This window comes from Homo sapiens, chromosome 5 (genome assembly GCF_000001405.40).
Source record: "Homo sapiens chromosome 5, GRCh38.p14 Primary Assembly".
NCBI lineage: Eukaryota > Metazoa > Chordata > Mammalia > Primates > Hominidae > Homo > Homo sapiens.
The window spans coordinates 94,417,409-94,442,042 of NC_000005.10; the positions used below are offsets into that span (position 1 = coordinate 94,417,409).

General features: G+C 37.5%; 1 protein-coding gene across 17 annotated transcripts in view; it reads right to left on the bottom strand.

Annotated features, from left to right (window-relative positions):
• KIAA0825 overlaps positions 1–24,634 on the bottom strand; it is a 467,754-nt gene that overhangs the window by 266,558 nt on the left and 176,562 nt on the right. For all 17 annotated transcript variants that reach the window (XR_948246.3, NR_169751.1, NM_001145678.3 and 14 more), the window contains one exon: positions 22,574–22,713. Coding sequence is in view for 15 of the 17 variants with exons in the window: in NM_001145678.3 (NP_001139150.1) it covers positions 22,574–22,713 (140 nt within the window). In the remaining 2 variants the exon portion in view is untranslated. The remainder of the gene's footprint in view (positions 1–22,573; positions 22,714–24,634) is intronic.

Below are 24,634 nucleotides of genomic sequence, written 5' to 3' on the forward strand. Positions count from 1 at the left end.
GATATCAGTGAATATGATTAAACTCTTACTATGTACACTAGCATAATGCTGTGGAAATGGTTTTTAATAAGATTTACATAAAAAGAGAATTACCAGATTATTTCAAAACAATGGTCCATCCAACCCAATGTTGTTTCTGAGATATTCATGGATATTTATGGAAAAAAACAAACAAAAACAACAACCAAAAAAACCTGTGAGAAAGACCACAATAACACCACTTCAAAGGTCAACGCTAGTTTCCCTCAATGTCATAATTCTTCTTTCTCTTAAGGAAAACTTTTTTGTTTCTTTTTCTAATTTAAGAATAATAGACATTCATTCTAAAAAAATTTTTTTGTAATCTGGACAACTAGGAATACTAACATTGTACCATGGGAAAATTCACATTTTTAGTTTTTCCAGAATTATGCTATCAATTCTACAAACAAATTTATGAATGTTTCTTAAATCCACAGACCTTGTCATATCAGACTGAAGAGTTTTATCAATTGGTTCCTCAATAAAACTATATAAAGAATTCAACAAAAATTGGGCCATTTTAATTGTCCTTTTCAACCCTCCTTTGGCTCCATAACAGCCTTCTCAAAAATCAGTAATCATAAGTTTCTGTACTATTGCATTTATAGTTTGGATGGAAAGGTGAAATAATAATTTCTGTTTTCTATGGATAATAAGCATGAGATGTGTACTATTATAATAAACAACATATTTGTTGGGTTAAAGGTAACAAATTATATTTTAGCTCTTATATTTTAACTATCTTGCATAAATCTAAAGCATTTCAGAATAAATAGATTTCTTTATTCTTGCTCATTTGGAATATCATTACTTTTATGTTTCCTCTTGAAATTTTTTTCCTGTGATTTGATTTTGATGATCTAAAGGAGCTCACTGTTATCTTCAAACTAAGAAATAACATCATAGACTTTATGTGGAGAACATTATTGGTTTTGCTTCCTAATACCCATTTTCTTTCTTTTCAAAACAAGTTAGTTTTCCTTTAGCAAGGTATCCCTGCTCCTATCTGTGTCCCTCACCCCTCCATCCTCCCAACCCTCCCCCACCCCTGCCCCCACACTTCGATTATTTGGTTCAGGTGAAGCCGACACTATCATCTGGAGTGGGCACATAACCAAGGCCTGGCCAATCAGACCATAACATATTGCATCAACAGTGACTGGTTCAGGAATGGGCAGGTATCCAATGAGAACCTTCTTTAGGATTTTTGCTAGAATTGTTGACAAAGCAGTGTTCTCTTTCTACTGGGGTTATTAACCCCAGTAGAAAGTAGGCTGAAAATTGCTGAAAGCCATTTTGGGGAGAACTTGACTAAGAATGAATCTGATATAGTAAGAAACAGAATTAAGAAAAGGAGAGAAGATTCCTAATGAGATGACACTGAGAACCTGGATCCAGCAATGCCTACATATTTATGCTTGCTGAGCTGACAAATTCAGCCCTCCCACCCCCTTTTATTTTCTTTTGAGATAGGGTCTCACTCTGTCTCCCAGGCTGGAATTCAGTGGCATGATTATAGCTCATTGCAGCCCCAAACTCCTGGACTTAAGTGATTCTCCACCAACAGCCTCGCAAGTAGGTCTAAGGTGTGCATCACCACACCCAGCTAATTCTTTTTTGTTTTATTGTAGAGATGGGGTCTTGCTCTGTTGCTCAGTCTGCTCTCAAACTCCTGGCCTCAAGTGATCCTTCTACCTCAGCCTCCCAAGTACTGCAATTACAGGCCTGAGTTGTTACACCCAACCAATTTTCCCTCTTTGATTAAACCAGGCTAATTTGGATTTCTGTTACTTGCAGTCTAAACGGTCTCGACTATTTCCCCAAGCATAAAATATAAAATGGCAAATATTCCTAATCCAGGCTTTCATAATTTAATATTTTATCCAAATAGTCTCTGCAGTTCCCTCTTCTTTCTGCTCCCTCCAATTCATCTTACATAAAATTATCCATTATCCTCATGTCCTTCCTTGTTTTAACCTTCCCCTTCCTCCACTGTTAAAAATTCCTTATCCTGATTGAGGATCAAGAGTTCCACAATCTTTTCCCAAATTATGTTCCAACCCCCAAACATCTGTTCTACCCAGTAGAGTTTATTTGCTTGTAAATGTGCCCTCCCATCTCCTTTTCTTTTTCCATGCCATTTCTTCAGGCTATATGTGTTTTCCTCCAATAAAATCATCATGATTTAATCAATAAGTTGATTGATTAATCAACTGCTTCCTATGTGTCAGTCATTGTACCAGGTGCTGAGGCCATCCCCTTCCAGGGGCTCAAGGATTGTGCAAATATGTGTATATTTTGTTGGCGGGGAGAAGATGACAGACAAGTAAATAATTATTACCGCAACATAAGGAAAAGGTGAGTGACCATGCATCTGAGTTTGCCTGGGCAGTCCTGGTTTAGGTCTGTTGTCCTGGTGTAATTACTAGTAGCATCTTCTTTCACTTTTAAAAGTGTCTCAGTTAGGATGATAAATTATTTGATCAACTTAAGTCTAAGTGATATAAGTATGAGGCACTGTGGAAATGCAGAGGATGATGCTTTAAATTTTTTCAGGGAACACAGACAAGTTACAAAGCAGATCATGTCTCAGCCAAGTCTTTAAGAAGGAGTAGAAATTTATCAGCATGACAAGATCAAGGTGGGGGGTACTTTCCAGGAAGACCGAAGAATTGGTGAAATATTGAGAAGACAAGCAGTTGCTGGCAGTGTGATGTGGCTGAAGTGAGACTGCCATGAGGAAGATGGGAGATGAAGCGAGGCAATCAACAGAGCATGAATAATATACAGCCCTGCAAATCATGCAACGGAAATGCACATGCCAGGGTGGATATGAGGAATAGTTCTATGGAATGGGTGCTAATTTTCCCAGTTTTACAGATGAACAAAGTAAAATGAAGAGAAATTAAATTACTTGTCCCAAGGTCACAAAAATAGTAAGAATATGTTTGTGCTGTCTGAATTACACTACAATCCCAAATTTCTCAAAGCCTGCTTTGACATTTTACTGACAATAACCACTGAATGCAAAGCACTCAGTCCAAACTATGTATATGGTATGTGGTAATGTATTGCCTTAATGCAAAACTCTTTAATTTCATATAGCATTCTACATTTTCACATATATTGTCTTGTTACATCTCTAGTACTATTTTACTATATGACGTTCTGCGGATGCACATCTTGTCTTCAGGTATCTTCCAACGGCACCTGGATCAATGCTACATGTTTAATATTGAAGAAGGAATAAAAGAAGGAATGTTTAGTACTAAAGAAGGAAGAAATGTTTTAATACTAAAGAGGGAAGAAAAGAAGGAAGGAAGGCAGAAAAAATAGATTGTTTTAATACTAAAACAATGTTTTAATGCTAAGGAAGGAAGAAAAGAAGGAAGGAAGGGAGAAAGAAATACATCTCTTGAGTATTTTGTGATAGGTTTTGGTCCATCTAGAAATTGATATTTCTGAATGACACATAATTACCTGCTAGTCATAAAGTTCAAAGATTTTTTTCTCTAAGCCTCATCCTCCTCACATCCACTGTATCCTTTCTTTTCACCTACTCCTTTGAAATCCTCGTCTCTCTTGACTTCCTGGCAGCTATGCTTTCTTGGATTCAGAGTTCCTTTTTGGCATATCTTTTCTGGTAGCTCTTCCTCTTTTATCTGGGGTTGGCAAATTTTTTCTATAAAGGGCCAGACACTTTATGTTTTGCAAGCCATTTGGTCTGTGTCTTAACTACTCAACTCTTCTCTTGGAGCACAAAAGCAACTATAAACAATATAATATGTAAATGAAGGATCAAGGCTATGTTGGACTAAAACTGTATTTACAAAAACAGGTGGCGGGAAGGGGCATTTGGTTCATGGGGGCTCCCCCAGAACAGTGGCCTTAGCCTTCTTCCAGCCACACTGCTTTTTACCTGGCTTAGCAATTCTGTTTTCCTTTGACTTGAAAGATTCTTTTTATGCAGAACTTTCCAAATTATCCATCTCTGGCTCTGACCTTTCTCTTTTATGCTCATTGCTGTGTTCCCTAGTTCTGTCTAGATCACCATCATATGCTTATTTCCAGGCTCAATGCCTTAGCAGTATTTATTCCTTCTCTGAATTGTTAGATGTAATAAAATAAATATCTCTACCCCGTTTCCCCTTCTCAAAATGAATTGAATGCTCATTTTTTCCCCCAATGTGTCCCTTCTTCTTTGATTCTAACACTATTAATATAGTTTAGGTTTTCTTTTCCTCTTGTTTTAATCAAAATACTTCCTAGAATATATATCAATCTAAACTCCTCTAGCTGCCTTTTAAAGTCCTCCATAATGCCTTATGTATCCAGACTTATAATTTTCTATGATTCCCCAATATTCCAAGATAATTTCTACTTCAGACCTCATTCATCATCTAATAAGGCTTGGCTGGACAGTAATCCTCAGCAGATTCCAGATGTTTCTAAGGTCTGTGCCCTGGAAACCTAGTGAAAGTCAACAACTTTGCCAGGTGGTGCTCATCCATAAACATTGCTTTTCCTTAGGTTTTGAATTTCTTACACTATTGGGATATTCTTCTTGTGCTCTCTTTCATTCTGATATTCCCCTATTCCTTTCAAGATGACTCAGCTATAGTTTAATTCTTTTAACCTGCTCTTTAAGTTAGTCCTGATCTGGTTTAGGATGCACTACCCCAAAATATGGCACCTTGGCATTTGAGAAAATAGCAGAAGCAGGAAGGTCTCTTTGACCTACTACTGCCCTTTTACCCTGAAGCAGGCCTTCACGGAATTCTGACTTTCCTCTAAAGTAGGTCATAAGACCCTCATTCCAGAGGTGCCCTCTATATAGCTGGAAGAAAGAAATGTCCTCCTCTCTGAAAACACAGGGACACAGAGAAGAATGTGAGTAATCAGATCTTGCTAAATTCCCCCCAGTTTATGGCCATTAAATTATACTCCCTTAGTCCAATTATACTTCTGCCCCACTGTTCACTGTTCATCACACCTAAATATAAAATAGAAAGCTTTCCCTGTGTCTTCAGGTCTTCCTTTCTGAAGGCTCCCATGTCATGTAAAATTGATATTAAATACATTAGTATGCTTTTTTCTAGTTAATGTCTTTTATCATAGGTGCCTCAGCCATGAACCTTGCAATGGGTGAGGAAAGGTATTAGTTTTTCTTCCCTATAGTCCCTTACCCTTTCCACAAAATAAAGGTCTAACTCCCGTTTTTCTTTCCCTCTGCCTTCTGGACCAGACATTTGTTTTGTTTTTCTAATATAAAATTATCCCAGTGTGTCTTTATGGAGTTTTCAGTAGTGAAAGAGATGAATGTCAATGAGTTCTAGATCTGCCTAAAGTATCCATTGTTCAAACAAATGTCATCCACTTTGCCTCCCTCAATCAATAATTTTACCTAAGACGTGTTTTCCCATTAGAGCAACATCTAACCCACACCTGGACTCTTATATGTTCTTCCCATTAATGTGAGTCACACTTCTGGTCTCACCCCACTTCTCATTTTCCCGGCACTAACAAAAGAGGAGTGACTCATCTGAGTGTTGAGTTTGGGGAAAGGAAGTAGGTATGGCTGTCTTAGCCCAGTGGGCTTTTCTCTTCTGGGATTTGCCTAACTGCAAAGGGTTGCATTCTGGCCTGATCTCCTCTCTGTGAAGGTCTATTAGGGTAAGCTCTGCCACTGCAAGGAAGTCCTATAGTTTTCGGCTCTTTTGGTGGTTTAGGGAGTGATTAAGTGGGGAGCTGGGGGGTTGGAGGGATGAAGGGATAAGCTTAATTCTGGAAAGCAGTATTGGCAAGCCACATATTTAAGGTCACATATTCTCTGACCCAGATTTTACCAGTAAAAATCCTAGTAGTAAAGATGCTACTTTGAATTTCATTTGCCTTCTTTATCAAATGTTTTATAGATTATACAAACAAATGTCTTCTCAATAACACTGAAGGGCTCTTTTCGTTGCATGCATTATTTTAAACTCCTTTCAAGAATTTCAACTTGTTAGTGCTTCAAAAGAAGGGTGGTTTCAGGCAAGAAACTCAACCACCAACCCACCAGGAGACTGTATTTATTGGTACTAAAGATTTACACATACATGGTACACTAGCACTTGGCTTTCCCAGCCTGCTTAATTTTTACTTTCTACTTTCTACAAGAATGTTGTTAATGACAAGCTCCTGCTGAGACACTAAAGAGGTTTTGGCAACAATGTTGTAGAAGAGTGTGCCATGAGCTCAGGGACTCTGAATTAACCAGGCACTAATGAGCATCCCTCACCAAAGGGAGGAGGCTGAAAGACTCATTTTCAATCTGGGTATTAGAGAGAAAGTATAAAAATAGAAATTATACCATGTAAAATGAGGATTTAAAACTTAAAACACCAGGCCAATAAATTAAAAGGACGTGAAGTATCACAAGAAAATTATTTCAAGGAAACACTAAATTTGGATGTCACAGCCTAGATCACTGTGAAAATTAACTAAAATAAAATTAAAATCTAATTGGAAAATTAGTTTAATAACATTGAACTTTGTTGTATAAAAGGCTAATAATATATGTAAATATAAAGACCTATCATTTATTTACAAAACTTTCAATTAATATAACTTTTTTTACACAGATAATGAACCTAAGCAAACAGGCCTTACTAAGTTTCCCCCAGTTTATTGCCATTAGATCATACTTCCTGTGTCCAATAATACTTCTGTATAACTGTCCATAAAAAATACAGTTTTATTCTGTGTTATTGAGTCTTCATTTTGGAAGGCTCTTGTGTCATATAAAACTTATATTAAATATACACATTCTTCTCATCAGCACAGGGAACATTCTCCAGGATAGACCATATGTTAGAAGCCAAAACAGGTCTCAACAAACTTTTAAAAATGAAAATCATAACAAAGGAATAAAACTAGATATCAATAACAAAAGAAACTTTTGGAAACTGTACAAATATACATAGAAATTAAACAACATCGTCCTGAATGACCACTGGGTCAAGAAAGAAATTAAAGAGAAAATTTAAAAAAATTCCTAAAACAAATGAAAATTTAAACACAATAAAACCTAAAAGATACAACAAAAGCAGTGTTAAGATGGAAGTTTATAGCAATAAGTGCTTACATGAAAAAAGCAGAAATATTTCAAATAAGCAACTCAATGATGCACCTCCAGGAACTGGAAAAACAAGAACACACATAACCCAAAATTAGCTGAAGGAAAGAAATCATAAAGACCAGAGGAGAACAAAATGAAAAAGAGACTTTAAAAATACAAATGATAAATGAAGAAGTTATTTTTTGAAAATATAAACATAATAAACCAAGAAAGAGAAAAGATCCAAATGAACAAAATCAGAAACGAAAAAGAAGACATTACAACTGAGACCACAGAAAGATAAAAAAGATCATCAGAGATTATTATGAATAGCTATACAGCAACAAATTGGAAGACCTGGAAGAAACGGATAAATTCCTGGACACATATAACCTACCAAGATTAATTCAGGAAGAAACAGAAAACCTGAACAGACCAATAACAAGTAACGAGATGAAAGGAGCAATGCGAAATCTCCCAACAAAGAAAAGTACAAGACCAGAGGGTTTCACTGCCAAATTCTGCCAAACTTTCAGAGAACACCAGTTCTCCTCAAACTATTCTAAAAGAGTAAAAAGAAGGGAATGTTTCTTAACTCATTCTATGAGGCCAGCATTACCCTGATACCAAAACCAGAGAGGAACACAACAAAAAAAGAAAACTACAGACCAATATCCCTAATGAACATAAATGCAAAAATTGTCAATAAAATGCTAGCAAACCAAATCCAACAGCACATCAAAAAAAATAATACACCTTCATCAAGTGGGATTTATCCCAGGGATGCAAGGATGGTTTAGCATACATAAATCAATAAACCTGATACATCACATCAGCAGAATGAAGAAGAAAAACATATGATTACCTCAATAGACAAAGAAAAGGGATTAGAAAATACAGTATCCCTTTGTGATAAAATCTCTCAACAGGCCAGGCATGGAAGCTCATGTCTATAATGCCAAAGCTTTGGGAGGCAAAGGTAGGAGGATCACTTGCGGCCAGGCATTCAAGACCAGACTGGGCAACACAGCAGGACCTCACCATTGCACTCTAGCCTAGGCAACAGAGTGAGACCCCATCTCAACAAAACAAAACAAAGCAAAACCAAACCAAAACAAAACCCATATGGTCGTTCTATTTTTAGTTTTTTGAGAAATCTCCATATTGTTTTACATAGTGGTTTGTACTACTTTACATTCCCACCAACAGTGTATGTGTTCCCTTTTCTCCAGATCCTCACAGCATTTGTTATTTTTTTGTCTTTTTAATAATAGCCATTCTAACAGGGGTAAGATGATAGCTCATGGCATGTTTTGCATTTCTCTGATAATTAGTGATGCTGAACATTTTTCATATGTTGATCATTTGTATGTCTTCTTTTGAGAAATGACTCCCTAAAGCTTTGACCTGCTGGGCTCAAGTGATCCTCCCAACTCAGCCTTCCAAGTAGCTGGGACTACAGGCTCATGCCACTATGCCTGGATAATTTTTGTATTATTATTATCATTATTATTATTATTATTATAGAGAGAAGGTCTTGCTATGTTGCCCAGGATAGTCTTGAATTCCTGGTCTCAAGCGATCCTCCCGCCTCACCCTCCCTAGGTGCTTGGATTATAGTTATGATCCATCATGCCTGGCCAGAACTACCATATGAATCAGCAATCCCACTACTAGATATCTACCCAAAGGAAAAGAAATCAGTATATCAATGGGATAGCTGCATTTACAAGTTTATTGCAGCACTATTTATAATAGCAAAGATATGGATTCAACCTAAGTGTCCATCAAAAAATGAATGGATAAACAAAACATAGTATGTATGCAAAATGGAATACTATTGAGCCATAAAAATAATAAAATCACGTCATTGGCTGCAACATGGATGGAACTGGTCATTATTTTACGTGAAATAAGTTAGGCACAGGAAGACAAATACCATATGCTGTCACTCATATGTGGAGGCTATAAAACTTGATCTATTGGAGGTAAAGAATAAACCGATAGAAACCAGAGGCTTGGAATAGCGTGCGGGTCAGAGGCTACTGAAGAAAGTTTAGTTACTGGCTACAAACATACAGTTAGAAGAAATAAGTTCTTGCGTTCAGCAACAGAGTAGGGTGATTATAGTTAGCAATAATATTGTATATTTCAAAGGAGTAAGAAGACTGGAAATGTTCCCAACACATAGAAATGATATAAATGAAATGATAAATACTCAAGGTGATGGACACCCCAAATTCCCTGACTTGATCATTACACATTCTATGCATTAACAAATACTCACATGTACCCCATAAATATGTAAAATATCATGTATCAATTAAAATGGTAAGAATAGTAAAAAGAAATCTTAAATACCTTTTTATGCTGTTCTCTTGTTAATCTGTCCTTTGTTATGTGGTGTCAGCCAAGAACCTTGTAATCGGTGAAGAAAAGATAGTACTTTTTCTTCCCTCAGTTCAATAATTATGATGAAGACTGTATGGTATACAAGGCCTAAAATATTTTTTATCTTGTCTTGTATATAAAAAAAATTTGCCAGCCCCTGTTCATGAATATTGGAAGAGTGTACATATGTTCCAAATAGCTAATACTAAATAAGGACATTTTCCATCTACTCTGAAACCATATGTAAGTATAAGTAGGTGTCAGCTTTTCATAACAGTCTTTTTATCACTCAATTTGTCAATCTCTACTAGTCACACTGTTTTAGAAAAGCATGCTAGGCATGGTGGCTCATGCCTGTAATCACGGGACTTTGGGAGGTCGAGTAGGGAGGATTGTTCTAGGCCAGGAGTTCAAGACCAGCCTGGGCAACATAGCAAGATCCCATCTCTACAAAAAATTTTCTAAAAATAGCCATGTGAGATGGTGCACACCTGAAGTCCTAGCTACTTTGGAGGCTGACGTGCAAGGATTGCTTGAGCCCAAGAGTTTGAGGTTGCAGTGAGCCATGATTGCACCACTACATTCCAGCCTGGGTGAGAGTGCAAGACCCTGTCTCAAAAAAAAGAATAAAAAGTACTTTATGGTACTTATTATTAGTAGCTGAACTTAACTACTTTTTATAAGATTTGTACTTTCCACCTTGCCCTCAGCAATCAATCCTCCAGAATATAAGCTTTATAAAGGCAACTTTTAAATGGTATAAGTATTTTTTTTCCAACTTTTATTTTAATTTTCTGCCTTGATGATATGTCTCATGCTGTCAGTGGGGTGTTGAACTCCCCCACTATTTTTGTGTGGCTGTCTAAACCTTTTCATAGGTCTAGATATGAAACATAGGTCTAGATATGACCTATAGCTTGTTTTAGAACCTGGGTGCTTGTTTTGTGTTTTGTGAACCTGGGTGCTCCAATGTTGAGTGTGTATATAGTTAGAATAGTTAAGTGTGCTTGTTCAATTGAACTCTTTGTCATTATGTAATGCCCTTCTTTCTTTTTTGCCGTTGTTGATTTAAAGTCTATCTTATCTGATATAAAAATAGTGATCCCTTCTCTCATTTGTTTTCTGTGTGCAAGCTATATCTTTCTCCAACACTTTACTTTGAGCCTATGGGTGTCATTACATGTGAGATGGGTCTCTTGGAGACAGCAGAGGATAAGGTCTTGTTGTGTGTGTGTGTGTGTGTGTGTGTGTGTGTGTGTGTGTGTGTGTGTGTGTTTTAATTCAACTTGTTACTCTGTGCATTTTAAGTGGGGGCATTTAGGCCATTTACATTCAAGGTTAATATTGACATGTGAGGTTTTGATCCTATCATGAAATTGTTTGCTGGTTGCTTTGTAGTTTCTATTGTGTGGTTGCATTTTCTGTGGGCTATGTATTTATGTGTGTTTTTCTGGGAACAGGTATCTTTATTTTGTTTCCATATTTAGAACTCCTGTAAGAATCTCTTGTAAGGCTGCTCTGGTGGTAATAAATTCCCTTAGTGCTTGCTTGTCTGGGAAAGATTTTATTTCTCCTTTGTTTGTGAAGCTTAGTTTGGTGGGATATGAAATTGTTGGTTGGAATTTCTTTTCTTTAAGAATGCTGAAAATAGGACCGCAATCTCTACTGACTCACAAGGTTTCTGCTGAGAAGTCTGCTGTTGGCCTGATGGGCTTCCCTTTGTACATGATCTGGCCATTTTTTCTAGCTGCATTTAAGATCTTTTTTTCTTTAGCCTTGATCTTGGATAGTCTGGTGACCATATTACTTAGTGATGTTCATTTTGAATAGTATTTTGCAGGTGATCTTGAATTATTCCCTCAAGTACATTTTCCAGGTTGTTTACTTTTTCTCCATCTCTCTCAGGATGCCAATAATTAATGGACTTGGTCACTTTACATAGTACCATATTTCTTAATGATTTTGTTTATTTTCTAAAATTATTTTTTCTTTATTTTTGTCTGAGTGAGTTCAAAATACCAGTCTTCAAGCTTTGAGATTTTTTTCTTCTAATTGGTCTAGTCTATTGATAAAGCTTTCAGTTTTACTTTGAAATTCCTTAAATGAGATTTTCAATTCCAGAGGCTCTGATTTATTCATTTTAAAGATATTTTGTTCTTTCTTAATTTCCTGGATTGCTTTAGAAGTTTCTTTGTGTTGATTTTCAATCTTGTCTTGGATCTCATTGAGTGTCCTTGCAATCCATGCTTTCAATTCGTTCTTCTGTCCTTTCTGAGTTTCATTTTGGCCACAGACCATTGCTGGAGAGCTAGTGCAATCCTTTGGTGGTGTCACTATATTTAGATTTTTCATTGTGCCAAAATTCTTGTGCTGTTTCCTTCTCATCTGGAGATGTTGGCATTTCTAATTTTTGTAGTTATTTTCACGCAGGTAGTATGTTTGCTTTTTCTTTCCTAGAATGTTTTTTTTTTCTTTCCCTTTCCCTTTTCCCCTGTTTCTGGGGGGTGTGACTGTAGGGTCTTTTGGCTTTGCTTCTATAGACATATGCACTTCTTTTGGCAGGTTTTATATTGGGCTGTGGAATTCAACATACAAGCCCATAGATGGCACTTACAGGCAAAAACTGTCTGTGGTCAATGTGGCTGGGTATATAGTTGATCCTTGTTTACTAGCAGAGGCTCTCTGTTACCTCAGGCAATGGGTTGATTCGTGAGATGTACAGTGGTCTGAGCTCCCTACTCAGCCCTGGGGGGTGGCAGGGGCCACAAAAGGTGGAGCCAGACCAGGCAGGTCCACCTACAGGTTCCCCGATGTCAGGCACAGGCATCAGTGCCAAGGGAAAATCCAATGAAGCAGCCCCCAAGCGCCCAGAAGTGTCACTCGGCTTGGAGCTGGGAAACCACCTCGGGTCCAAGTTCTCTACACAGGTATGGGGATGGCCTAAACTTGTAATCTAGGAGAGTGGGTGCTCCAGATGCCTGGAGCTCTGCCTGGGCGTGAAGTAGAAAGGCTTCCCTGCACCAGAATCTGCACAGGAAGGGTGGTAAGTCAGGCTGGTTGATCCAGATGAGTGGTGCTCTGAAAGCCTGAAGGTCTGCCTGCACATGGAGCAGAGAGGACCCCCTGCAGCAAGATCTCTGCACAGGAGGGGTGGGGCAACTCATGCTGCTGGACCAAGCAAGCAAATACTCTGAAAGCCTGGAGATCTGCCTGGGTGTATAGTAGAGAGGGTCCCCTTGCACCAGAATCTCTGTACAGAAAGAGTAGACAGTTCAGCCTGCTGATCCAGGTGATCTGGTGCTCTGAATGTATGAAGGCAATTTGGCACGGCATGTTTACCATTTTATTTGCAGTCTAAAACACTGCCTGGTACATACTTGATGCTCACTAAATATTAGTTGAATGGAGAATTTACTCATAAAATCAAGTAACAAAACATTTTCAGAAATTAACTCAGAAGAATATTACTTCTTATTTCAAAAAAAATCATCCTCACAAAGTCTCTTGTTTTTATTTTAGAATTCATTTAAAAACAATAGACTTTCAAGAAATAATGGCTCTTCTAGCAAGGACCACTTAAAACATCAAGTGCGCAATTTACTCAATTTTTCTGTATCTAATTTTTCTCATTTGCAAAATGGTCCTAATAATCCCGGGTCATAAATGAAATAATATGTTAAATCATTTGAGTTGCTTGGGAAAAGATGCTGCAGAAATTCATCATAATAGTATTACTTGTAATATAATGCCCAATCATTTTACATACTAATGCTAGAAGCACATTAACTACTAAGGAAGATGTATGTTTCTACAGTCATATTAGACATTTTGTAAGTTTCAGGAACAGATAGAATATAAAATATTTCAGTCACTGCCAAGCCAGATTAGATTTGATTCAATGCAGGTGAAACATCACAGCAAAATTCAAACTGCCAATCTCCCAAGCTATATGCAAAGATTCTCAAGGAGTCCTAAATATATAGAACTTGAGAATATTTACTTGGTCTACCTCTCACCTTCAAATACATGACAGCTGCTAGGCAACACCTTCTCAGGCACAAAGATGTCCAAAAATGAGAACCTCATCTCCCAGGAGACTCTTTAAATGTATGCTTACGTGGAAGGGGAGGGTTACTGAGAAGCACAGGCAGAGACCATTGCATAGAGAGCACAGGAGTAATCAGAGGATAAAAAATGCATCAGACATCTTTTCCAGGCATTCAGTATAAAAAAAATGAAGAGAACCTAACATAAGTTAAGTACCTACTATGTTCCAGGCAATGCACTGAGTACTTTATGTTTATTTACCCTTTAAAGCTCAAAATGAATTAATAAGGTCAATATTAGTACCCCATTTAGAAATGAGAAAATGAGAGTTTAGAGAGATCAATGAATAAAACAGAATTGTCATATAAAATGAACAGGCCTGCAATCATTCAACAAATACTTTTTTAAAGCATGTTCTATGCTGTCAGTACCAGTCTAATGTGTCATGAACCAGGCCAGGCACTGGGGATAAAATGGTGAACTATCCCTCCCCTCCTAAAACTCACAGTGGCTGAAGTAGACATTAAATACCAATTACGTCAATTAACATTTCACTTAAAATTGTGACAAAAAGAAGTACAGTGGGACCTCACCCAGCCAGGATGATCAGGGATGACTTCCTAGGAAGTAACATTTATGCTAAAAGGTGACTAACAGATGCCAGGTAAACAGAGACAAGAAATGGTCTAGGCATAAAAAAATAAATAAAAACAACATTTCAAAGGCTCTGTAGCAGGAAAGAACTTGGCATATGGGACAATTGAAAAGGCACTGGTATTAGAGCAGCTGCCCCTTTCTTCAAGTGACTTCTGCAGGGAGTTTGCTATTATAAATTACAAATCTATGATGCACAACCTAAACCAGAGAATGCATGACCCTGTGTTGGAGCATACTATGCTGGGGGTGAGTAGGATGAGATGAGCTGGACAAGTTGGCCACATCTAGAGCATGCAGGGGATTGTTGGTGTTGCAAGGATTAGGGCTCTTACTCTAAAAGCATTGGGTAGCCACTATCAGTTTTTAGCAAGGGAGTAACATAATCAGTTCTGTATGTGAATAAGATTATGCTTGCTGACCACTGTGAATGTCCTGATAATAATTCATAATAGTTCATAATAATTCTTAAGTAAATTGTCTTTTTATAAACCTACAATATGTTACGAGGACAAGCCACATACTCAAATTCTTTTGCCTTCTATAGCAGCAGATACCTTGTTTGATATCCCTGCTACAGAGAAAGTTGCCTGGGAACCAGCAGCAGCGGGAGCAGCATCACCTGGGAGTTTGTTAGAGAAACACATAATCCATAATCTCAGGCCCCACCCATGACCTACTGAATCAGAATCTACAGTTTTAACCAGATCCCCAGGTAATATGTTTGCACTTAAAGACAAGAAGCCTTATTTTACATAATCCATATCCCACTACCTCCCCTAGAAGCACCACCCCCACCTCACCCTCATGAAGTCTCAAAAGAATCTAAATGGTAACTCTTTCTGGGACTAATAATTTTATGGAGCCCACTGATACCTCTAAACTAGTTCATCAGCATTCTTGGATAGGATCTTTGGATAGGATCCCATATGGTGACACACAAATATGGTTCTTAGTAAAGAAAGTGACAAAAAAAAAATAGAACAAGTCAGAGTCCTGTAGTGCAGACATCATTACTGGCAAAAGCAGCCTATGACATCATTGTTATGTTGGCTAACAATGGGTTATTTTAGGTCACCTCCTTCAAGGCAGTTATTAAATTGCACTTTGGTCACACTTGCAAAACAAAACACATGGCTGGGTATCTGTAATCCCAGCACTTTGGGAAGCAAAGGTGGGAGGATTGCTTGAGGCCAGGAGTTTGAGACCAGCCTGGGCAACATAGCAAGACCCCATTTCTAATAATAAAGAACTAAAAGAAAAACAATAACAGGAAAATACACACACATACCCACACACCATACACAACAAAACACCAAGCTTCTGCCATAAAATGCCTTATATTACCTGAAAGACCAAGAAAATATTAACTATATGGTAAGATAATTTTAAGTTGATTCATTCATTTTATTTTATTTTATTTTATTTTTTGAGATGGAGTCTCGCTCCATAGCCCAGGCTGGAGTGCAGTGGCGCAATCTCGGTTCACTGCAAGCTCCACCTTCCGGGTTGACATCCTGCCTCAGCCTCCCGAGTAGCTAGGACTACAGGCGCCTGCCACCACACCTGGCTAATTTTTTATATTTTTAGTAGAGATGGGGTTTCACCGTGTTAGCCAGGATGGTCTCGATCTCCTGACCTCGTGATCCGCCAGCCTCAGCCTCCCAAAGTGCTGGGATTACAGGCGTGAGCCACCGTGCCCGGCGATTCATTCATTTTAAGGCAACAGTTACTTGCTAATGGTAGTAGCCTTTTAGTCAGAATTTTCTCTAGATATTTTTCTTTGTTATCTTTAGGCACTTTGTCATGAGGTTAAAAAGTACAAAAGGTACTATGAAAATTATCTACTACTTAGGTTTCTGATAGTTCCCATGAATTGTGCAATATTGCTATTTGGTAAATGTTCTGTGGCTCTGCTTGGAACATGTGGTGCTGTGTGAATGGAAACAGAATTTGAAAGCCAGCTGCCTGGGTCAAATCCTTCTTTGTCATTTACTAGTTGTGCAACTTGGATTTCTCTGTGTTTCAGTTTCCTCATCTCTAAAAGGGAAATGACAATCATACCACACAGAGCTGTTACGAGGTTTCAATAAGTAAACACATTTAAACTACTTAGAAACAATGTCTGGAACATGTTAAATAGTATGCATTTACTAGTTTGCTGCTGCTATTATATTACAAATTAATATTATCAGAAGTCAAGAAGTTTTACTGGCAATTATTCTTGGGGCGATAGGCAAAGGAAAGAATGTTAGTCACACTTCATTCAAATGTCACTAGCAGGAAAGGTTACCTGCTAACAATTGGGAAATTGCCAAATATTTGTTCCTTTGATGACACATGTAAGAAACCTGTAAGGCCATGTGGCCTCAGCAAGATAATTACCAGAACAATTGCCTTGGGTGTCAAAAGTCAATAATTCAAAATAGTGTCTCACAATTTTAAAATCTTCTGTGATCATTTGTAGTTGAGAGTTTCTTCCCTGCAGATTTAAGATGACCTAACTTAAAACCAAGAAACATTACCTTCTCCTGCCAACTGAACTGTACTCAGTGTTAAAAGCCACCTACCATGTGAAATCAGTTTACTTTTATTAAGTTTTAGCAATGTAATCATTCCTTCAAAATGCTACATATTTTATACAGAGAGGATTATTTTACATGGCAAAAACATAATTCCACTTCCTAAAAGTTTGCAGCCTATGAAGCATAAATTATAAATCCTTACCATTCACTTATTTAATTTTGTTATTTTCTGATGCTCAGTGAAGTTGCATCTGAGATTACAAGAGAGCCATTTCCTACAGGCTCTGTCGATTCTTTTGAAAAACATAAATTCTGAGAAATAATTTCCACAGAGTGAAACAAAAAGCTACAGACATCACTTTCACGATGCAATAAATCCCATATGCTTTAATCTTTATAGTACATGGTTATTGTCTTAGTCCATTTTCTGCTGCTATAACACAATACCACAGACTGGGTAATTTAACAAGAACACAAGTGTATTTGGCTCACAGTTTTGGAGGCTGGGAAGTCCAAGAGCATGGCGCCAGCATCTAATGAGGATCATCTCATGGTGAAAGGGTGGAAGGCAGAAGCCAGTGTACAAGATACAGGGAAGTGGGCTAAACTCATCCTTTTTATTAGGAACCCCCTTGAGCAATTACTAAATCATTCCCATGATAATGGTATTAATTCATTCATGAAGGCAGAGTCCTCATGCCCTATCGACTCTTAAAAGGTTCAACCTCTCAACATTGTTACAATGGCAATTAAATTTCAACATGAGGTTTGAAGGAGACATTCAAACCATAGCAGTTGTTTATCAAGAAAAACTCTGTACCTAACAGTATTCAACAATTATTTATTAAACAAAGAGAACCTTGTTTTAAAAAATGTAATAAATACATGTACTTCATATTTCTGCATTTTTATTCCTGAGACAATTTAACACAAAATTAAGTTTTATCAATTAGATGAAAAAAAACCACTATTTTTTTTTCTTTTTTTTTAAGTTTTCAGTTCAGGGGTACATGTACAGGATGTGCAAACTTGTTACATAGGTAAATGTGTGTCATGGGGGTTTGTTGTACAGATTACTTCATCACCCAGGTATTAAGCCTAGTATCCATTAGCTATTTTTCCTGATCCTCTCCCTCCTCCCACCCCCCACCCTCCAACAGGCCCCAGTGTGTGTTGTTTCCTGCATGTGTTCATGTGTTCTCATTGTTTAGCTCACATTTATAAGTGAGAACATGTGGTATTTGGCTTTCTGTTCCTGTGTCAGTGTGCCTCTAGCTCCATCCATGTCCCTGCAAAAGACATGATCTCATTCCTTTTTATGGCTGCATAGCATTTCATGGTGTATATGTACCACATTTTCTTTATCCAGTCTATCATTGATGGGCATTTAGCTTGATTTCATGTCTTTGCTATTTTGAATAGTGCTGCAGTGAACATATGCATGCATGTGTCTTTATAATAGAACAATTTATATTCCTTTGGGTATATACCCAGTAACGGGATTGCTGGGTCAAATGGTATTTCTGTCTCTAGGTCTCTGAGCAATCTCTGCACTGTCTTCCACAATGGTTGAACTAATTTATGCTTCCACCAACAGGGAAAATTGCTCCTTTTTCTCCACAACCTTTCCAGCATCTGTTATTTTCTGACTTTTTAATGATAGCCATTCTGACTGGTGTGAGATAGTATCTCATTGTAGTTTTGATTTGCATTTCTCTAATGATCAGTGATGTTCAGCATTTTTTTTTCATATAACTGTTGGCTGCATGTATATCTTCTTTTGAGAAGTGTCTGTTCATGTCCTTTGCCCACTTGTTAATCTGGTTAGTTGTTTTTTCATTCTAAATTTGTTTAAGTTCATTATAGATGCTGGATATTAGTCTTTGGTCCAATGCATAGTTTGCAAAATTTTTTTCCCATTCTATAGGTTGTCTGTTTACTCTGTTGACAGCTTCTTTTGCTGTGCAGAATCTCTTTAGTTCAATTAGATTCCATGTGTCAATTTTTGCTTTTGTTGCAATTGCTTTTGGCATCTTCATCATGACATCTTTGCCCATATCTATGCTTGAATGGTATTGCCTAGGTTTTCTTCTAGGGTTTTTATGGTTTTGGGTTTTACATTTAAGTCTTTAATATATTTTAAGTTGATTTCTGTATATAGTGTAAGGAAGGGGTCCACTTTCAATTTTCTGCATATGGCTAGCCAGTTCTCCCAGAACCATTTATTAAATAGGGAATCCTTTCTCCATTGCTTTTGTCAGATTTGTCGAAGATCACACAGTTGTAGGTGTGCGATCTTATTTCTGGGTTCTCTGTTCTGTTCCATTGGTTTGCGTGTCTGTTCTTATACCAGTACCATGCCATTTTGGTTACTATAGCCCTGTAGTATAGTTTGAAGTCTGGTAGCATGATGCCTCCAGCTTTGTTCTTTTTGCTTAGGATTGCCTTGGCTACCCGGGCTCTTTTTTTGGTTCCATATGAATTAAAATAGTTTTTTTCTAGTTCTGTGAAGAATGTCAATGGTACCTTAATGGGAATAGCATTGTATCTATAAATTTATTTCGGCAGTGTGTCCATTTTCACAATATTGATTCTTCCTTTCCATGAGCATGAAATGTTTTTCCATTTGTTTGTGTCATATCTGATTTCACTGAGCAGTGGTTTGTAGTTCTTGTTGTAAAGGTCCTTCACTTCCATTATTAGCTGTATTCCTAGATATTTTATTCATTTTGTGGCAGTTGTGAATGGAAGTCCATTCTTGATTTGGCTTTTGGCTTGACTGTTGGTATACAGAAATGCTAGCAATTTTTACACATTGATTTTGTATCCTAAGACTTTGCTGAGGTTGCTTATTAGCATAAGAAGTGAAAAACACACTATTTATTTAAAACTCCCACATAAAAAGCTGATAGTTATGTTGCTTGAAATATATAATTCAGAGTATTTTGCTCTAAAATTTTGCTTTGCTAATATTTCCTAATATAATCAAGCTTCTAAATTACAAAATGGTACTCTGAAATATCATGAGACTTTAAATCAAATAAAAATAAAATATCTAAAAATATTACAAATTAATTTCTGTGTGCATAATAATTTCTATATTAGTATAATTAACAAGATTCCATGAATATATTGTTTCTAATTTAAAGTGACAAGAATTCTATTGGAGATTAAGAAGTAGGTCAATCAATTGATCAGTAAATTCAGTCACTTTATCCTTATGGTATTTGAAGTAGCTAGTAAAATTCAATACAAGACAATATCACTGCAGTCATGTAGTCTAATAGCCTTTGTTTAAAATGATGGGTGTTTGAGCAGGTTGGGTAAATACACTGCTGTACTCCATAAGAACCAGAACTAAAAATAGTACAGTATGATACCTTTGATAACTCCAAGTTTCTTTAAAACAACATCATGTTATACATACCAGAATGTGGACATAATTATTTTTGATAAGTAAATGTAGGATTCATTTGTAAGAGAACATGGTTAAATATTCATAACTATAATTGTACTTCCTATAGTTAGTGGCTGTCTCAATATAGTCAAAAGGTTTATCTCAACTGATTTTACAATCTATTCTCCATAACTCTATCAGTAGGAGACCATTTCTCTTATAGGACCATGCCTGTGGGTTTCAAAGATCACATGAAAGTAACTCTCAGCTTTGTTAGATATTATCCTTGTCATGTAGCTGCTTTGTCTGAAAAGCACTTAGACTATAAAGTTTAAGTGAAGCACCATGTTTTATATTCTAATTGATCACTGATTGGCCAAGCACTGTTTACTGGACTGTTTATGTAAAAAGCACTGTGCCAGCTTAAGGAGGAATACAAAAATCTACAGTACAGCCTTGCCTACCTAGCTGGAAAGGTAAGTTAAATGCATGTGTACCAAGATGTCCTGGTTGATCCAAGCTGAGAGTGGACAGATAACAATTCTTCCCAATACTACGCTATTCCGCTTCAGGGTTTAATTTGCATGAGTATTTGTATTGGAAGGGCAGGGGACAGAAAGCTCTGGCTGGGTACAAAATCTAGAGCTACTCGCTATTTATCAGATATGTGTATCTCTGGGTAAGTAATAATTATCTTCAATGCCAAGTCCTTATGTTTAACATGAGAGTAACAATAGTATATATTTTATAAGATTATAGAGAGAATCAAATTAGATAACACATATAAAATGCTTAGCATAGTGCTTGATAACTAATAAGTGAACAATAAATGTTGTTTATGTGAGGAAGTAGATTCCCTAGTGTGAGTTTTCTCTTTAGGAGAGTGGTTAAGCCTGAAGCTAAATAAATTGCTTTCAGATAAACTTTGTGAGATTTGAGTTCCAAACAGTACTGCTTGGGAGCTAAGGACATAAAATCAGATTCAGGGCTTGGGAGGGAGCAAGCTCTGCCTTTCTGCCTGGAACACAGTGAGGCCTGAGGAGTTGTGATGACCTTTGGCACCACATGGCTTTACAGTTTGGAGAGCACCAGGAGAGAAGCAATATTCTCACAAGAGACACTGCTCCTAAGTGCCTTTTGGGAACCAAACATTGAGATGGATGGGAGAGAATATGGGGAACTGGTCCTGAGCAGATGTGAGAAAACAAAGATTATCAGAAATGACTGAAGCTATTTACACAAGGAAAGGCTATGAACCTCATTTGTATACTAACAGGCTGGTAGGGCCCGATGACATTTGCCTCATTCACATATAAACACAATGAAAATATAAGGCAGTGCATGCTAAGGGCAAATAAAGTAGCCAAGACGAAAGTTCACTATGAAGTTCAGGGGAGCAAGAGATTAGCGTTAAGACAGAGCATTCAAAGCTCCGAAACATCAGCTGGGCTTTGCAGACTGGTGGAAGCCAAGTTGTTTATGGCAGGTCTTTAAGTAGGAAAGATAGGTGAGCCAAGGTGTGGAGTGAACACATGCTTGGGGCTTTGGGGACAACAACTGTTACAGGAGTAAGTTGCAAAGAAATAGTGGGGAAAAGGTTAGAAAACTATTCTGGGATCATATTTGAATGGTGAAGGGACTTGGGTGCTTCAGGTGTTGGGGAACTACAGAAGAAAGATTTTGATTTGGGAAACCTACAGTGAAACTAGTAATTGATAAAGTTAATCAGGCTTCGCTTGTGGTACGTAATAGGAGAGATGCACAGGAGTATGTGAAAATGGTGAAAAGCTCTTCCTAGATGAAGTGGGACAGCAGTGAGATGTAATATTATACTGACATAACATTACTTACCATTTTCTTAAAAAGCATTTAAAGGGGAAAAAAAGAAACTAATTAGGAGAAGTATGGTCTTATACTACTCCTCGATTTCCATTCAGAATTTTCTGATGATTACTACTCTGTGCTCCAACGGATATAGCTGTAGGCCACATCTTGCTTGTTTGTAAGTTGCACAAGCACCCTTCGTGATACACTGAAATTCCCAGTGTTAATCTAATACTCTGTCTCTGTCTGTCTCTGTCTCTCTCTTTCTCTCTCTAGGTCTAATTCAGATTGTGCTTTGGAAATATAACTGCAGTCCTACAATTTTTTTAGGCATTTCAAACCCTGCGTATTGATACATTTCTATATAATGGTAGTTGTGATAGAACAGTGTCATATAAAAATATAGTTTTCTCTCATTCAGAGTCATTGAAATAAATTTTTTCAAATAGGTTGGTAAAGCGATTTAATGCTTTTGACTGCTGCTAACCCAGCTGAATGTTGATACATGCTATTGGTTTACATCTTTCTTCCAATGTTTGCCTAGGAAAAAAATGTTATTCAACTCGAGCAATGACTAGGTTTTTCGAGGACATTCTTATAACTACACATACTCACTTGAGCTCTTCAGCAAGATTCTCAGTAAAAGTCCATCATGATGCAGTAGGGTTTCCAGAAGCAAGTTCCAGTTACAACGTGGCTGGGATAAGAGCAGTTTCAACTGACCCTCGGCTTTCAGTCCTCCAGCTGATGGAGTCCTTTCAAAATGCAAGATAAAGATGGAGTAATGAAGTTAATTTATCTATGAAATTAATAGCCTTAAAGTACAGATGTAATGCTAACTCCTTTAAATGTCAATTCCTCCCTGATTACTCTGAAAATGCTTTCATGCTTGCTTACTTTAGGGTTGCCTGGGGAAGGAATTACACTTAATCTCAACTAGCTAAAAGCAAACTAACATTTGGTACCTTGCCAAATTTAAAACTGATACAAAATACCCATGCCTATGTTTCATGGAACTATGTCTGTTTTTGTTTCACGGAGAGAAGAAAAATTACTTATGCATTTTTTGAATGCATTCATTTGTTTATTTACCAAATATATCAATGCCTACTATGTGCTATTAACTCCTTTCCTTATTGATTGAAAGAAGTTCTGATGAGTTTCACTAGTTTGTAATTTGCTATATAATGTGATTGCAGATGAAAAAAAATCAAAGCTTCTGTCAAGGGTCAACCGTAATCTAATTATTTAATATGTAAAGCCTTACATCAACATTCAATTATCAGAACTGCTGCTATTAAACTGTTACCTACTTGGGTAATCATTTCATCAAAGGGAAAGAATTCCGAGGCAAATACGCTTCTGCTTGAAAAATTATCAGTGTTGAACAGAAAATAGAAATCAGGTCTCTCACATCACCACTTTCATTTACCAATGAATCAGCAGGAGAGCAAAGGAACTGATAACATTATTTACTTTTCCCTTCTAAAATCTAGAAACCTAAAATTTAGATTGGCTAACAGTTGCAAAATGGGAAATCAACTTACAAGGAGAACAACAACAAAAAAGGCAGGAAATAGTTAAACTCAATCTGGTGACAGCCTTAAGGACATAGGAATAGGGCGGCACAGGGAAGGGAAGGTGGACTGAGCAATCTAGAGGTGAGAATGGGAGCATCATATGCTTCAGGGTGGAAAGTAATGCAGAGAAAGGGGTATCACTGAGAGAGGCAATCTGCAGCATTATCATTAGCAGATGCAATTTACTGTGTGGTAAGCCATCCAGTGATCAACACAGTCTAGACCAATGGTTTTCAAAGCTTGGGCCCCAAACCAGCAGCATCAACATCACATCCTAATTCTCCAGCCTCATCCCATCAGAAATTCTGGGGCGGGGATTGGGGGCGGGGAGCGGGGGACAGGGCAGAAATCTGTGTTTCAACAATCTTTCTCCAGGAGATTCTGTTGCATGCATGGTAAGGCTTGATGCATGTAGGCAGTGCTTTCTGAAGCACAGGCAGTAGGGTTAGGACCAATTAGCATCCTCTTTCCTGCCTCTGCCTTTGCACAGGTCCACCTTGGCTGCACCCACAATGGGCTAAATGTTTGTGTTCCCCCTCCTCAAAATTCATATGTTGAAACCCTAATCCCAACGTATCTGGAGATGGGGACTTTGAGAGATAACTGGGTTCATGAGAGTGGAGACCCCATGAATGGGATTATAGTCCTTCTAAGAAGAGGCTGGAGAGTTAGCCTGACCTCTTTCTGCATGAGGATACAAGAAGTTCGCTATGGGAAACCTGGAAGAAGGCCTTCACTAGCATGCAACTGTGCTGTATCTCATCTTAGACTTTCAGCCTCCAGAACCATGAGAAATAAATGTTTGTTAAGCCACCCAATCTATGGTATATTTGTTATAGCAGCCAGAGCTAAGATACCATCCATGCAATAAACTCCCTATAACCTTTCATCTTTATCTTAATCCTACTCTTCCTTTAATTTGCAGCAAACATTCTCTATCCCTGTGAAGTCTTCCCTAAAAATTTCTCTTCATAGTGGCAAGTTTACACATTTCAGCACTTTATTATTTCATCAACTAAAGTTTTATCTGTTCAATTCACCCAGATTCGAACTTTGTGAAGACACTGGCTGTATATCCCAAAGCTTCTACTAGTGA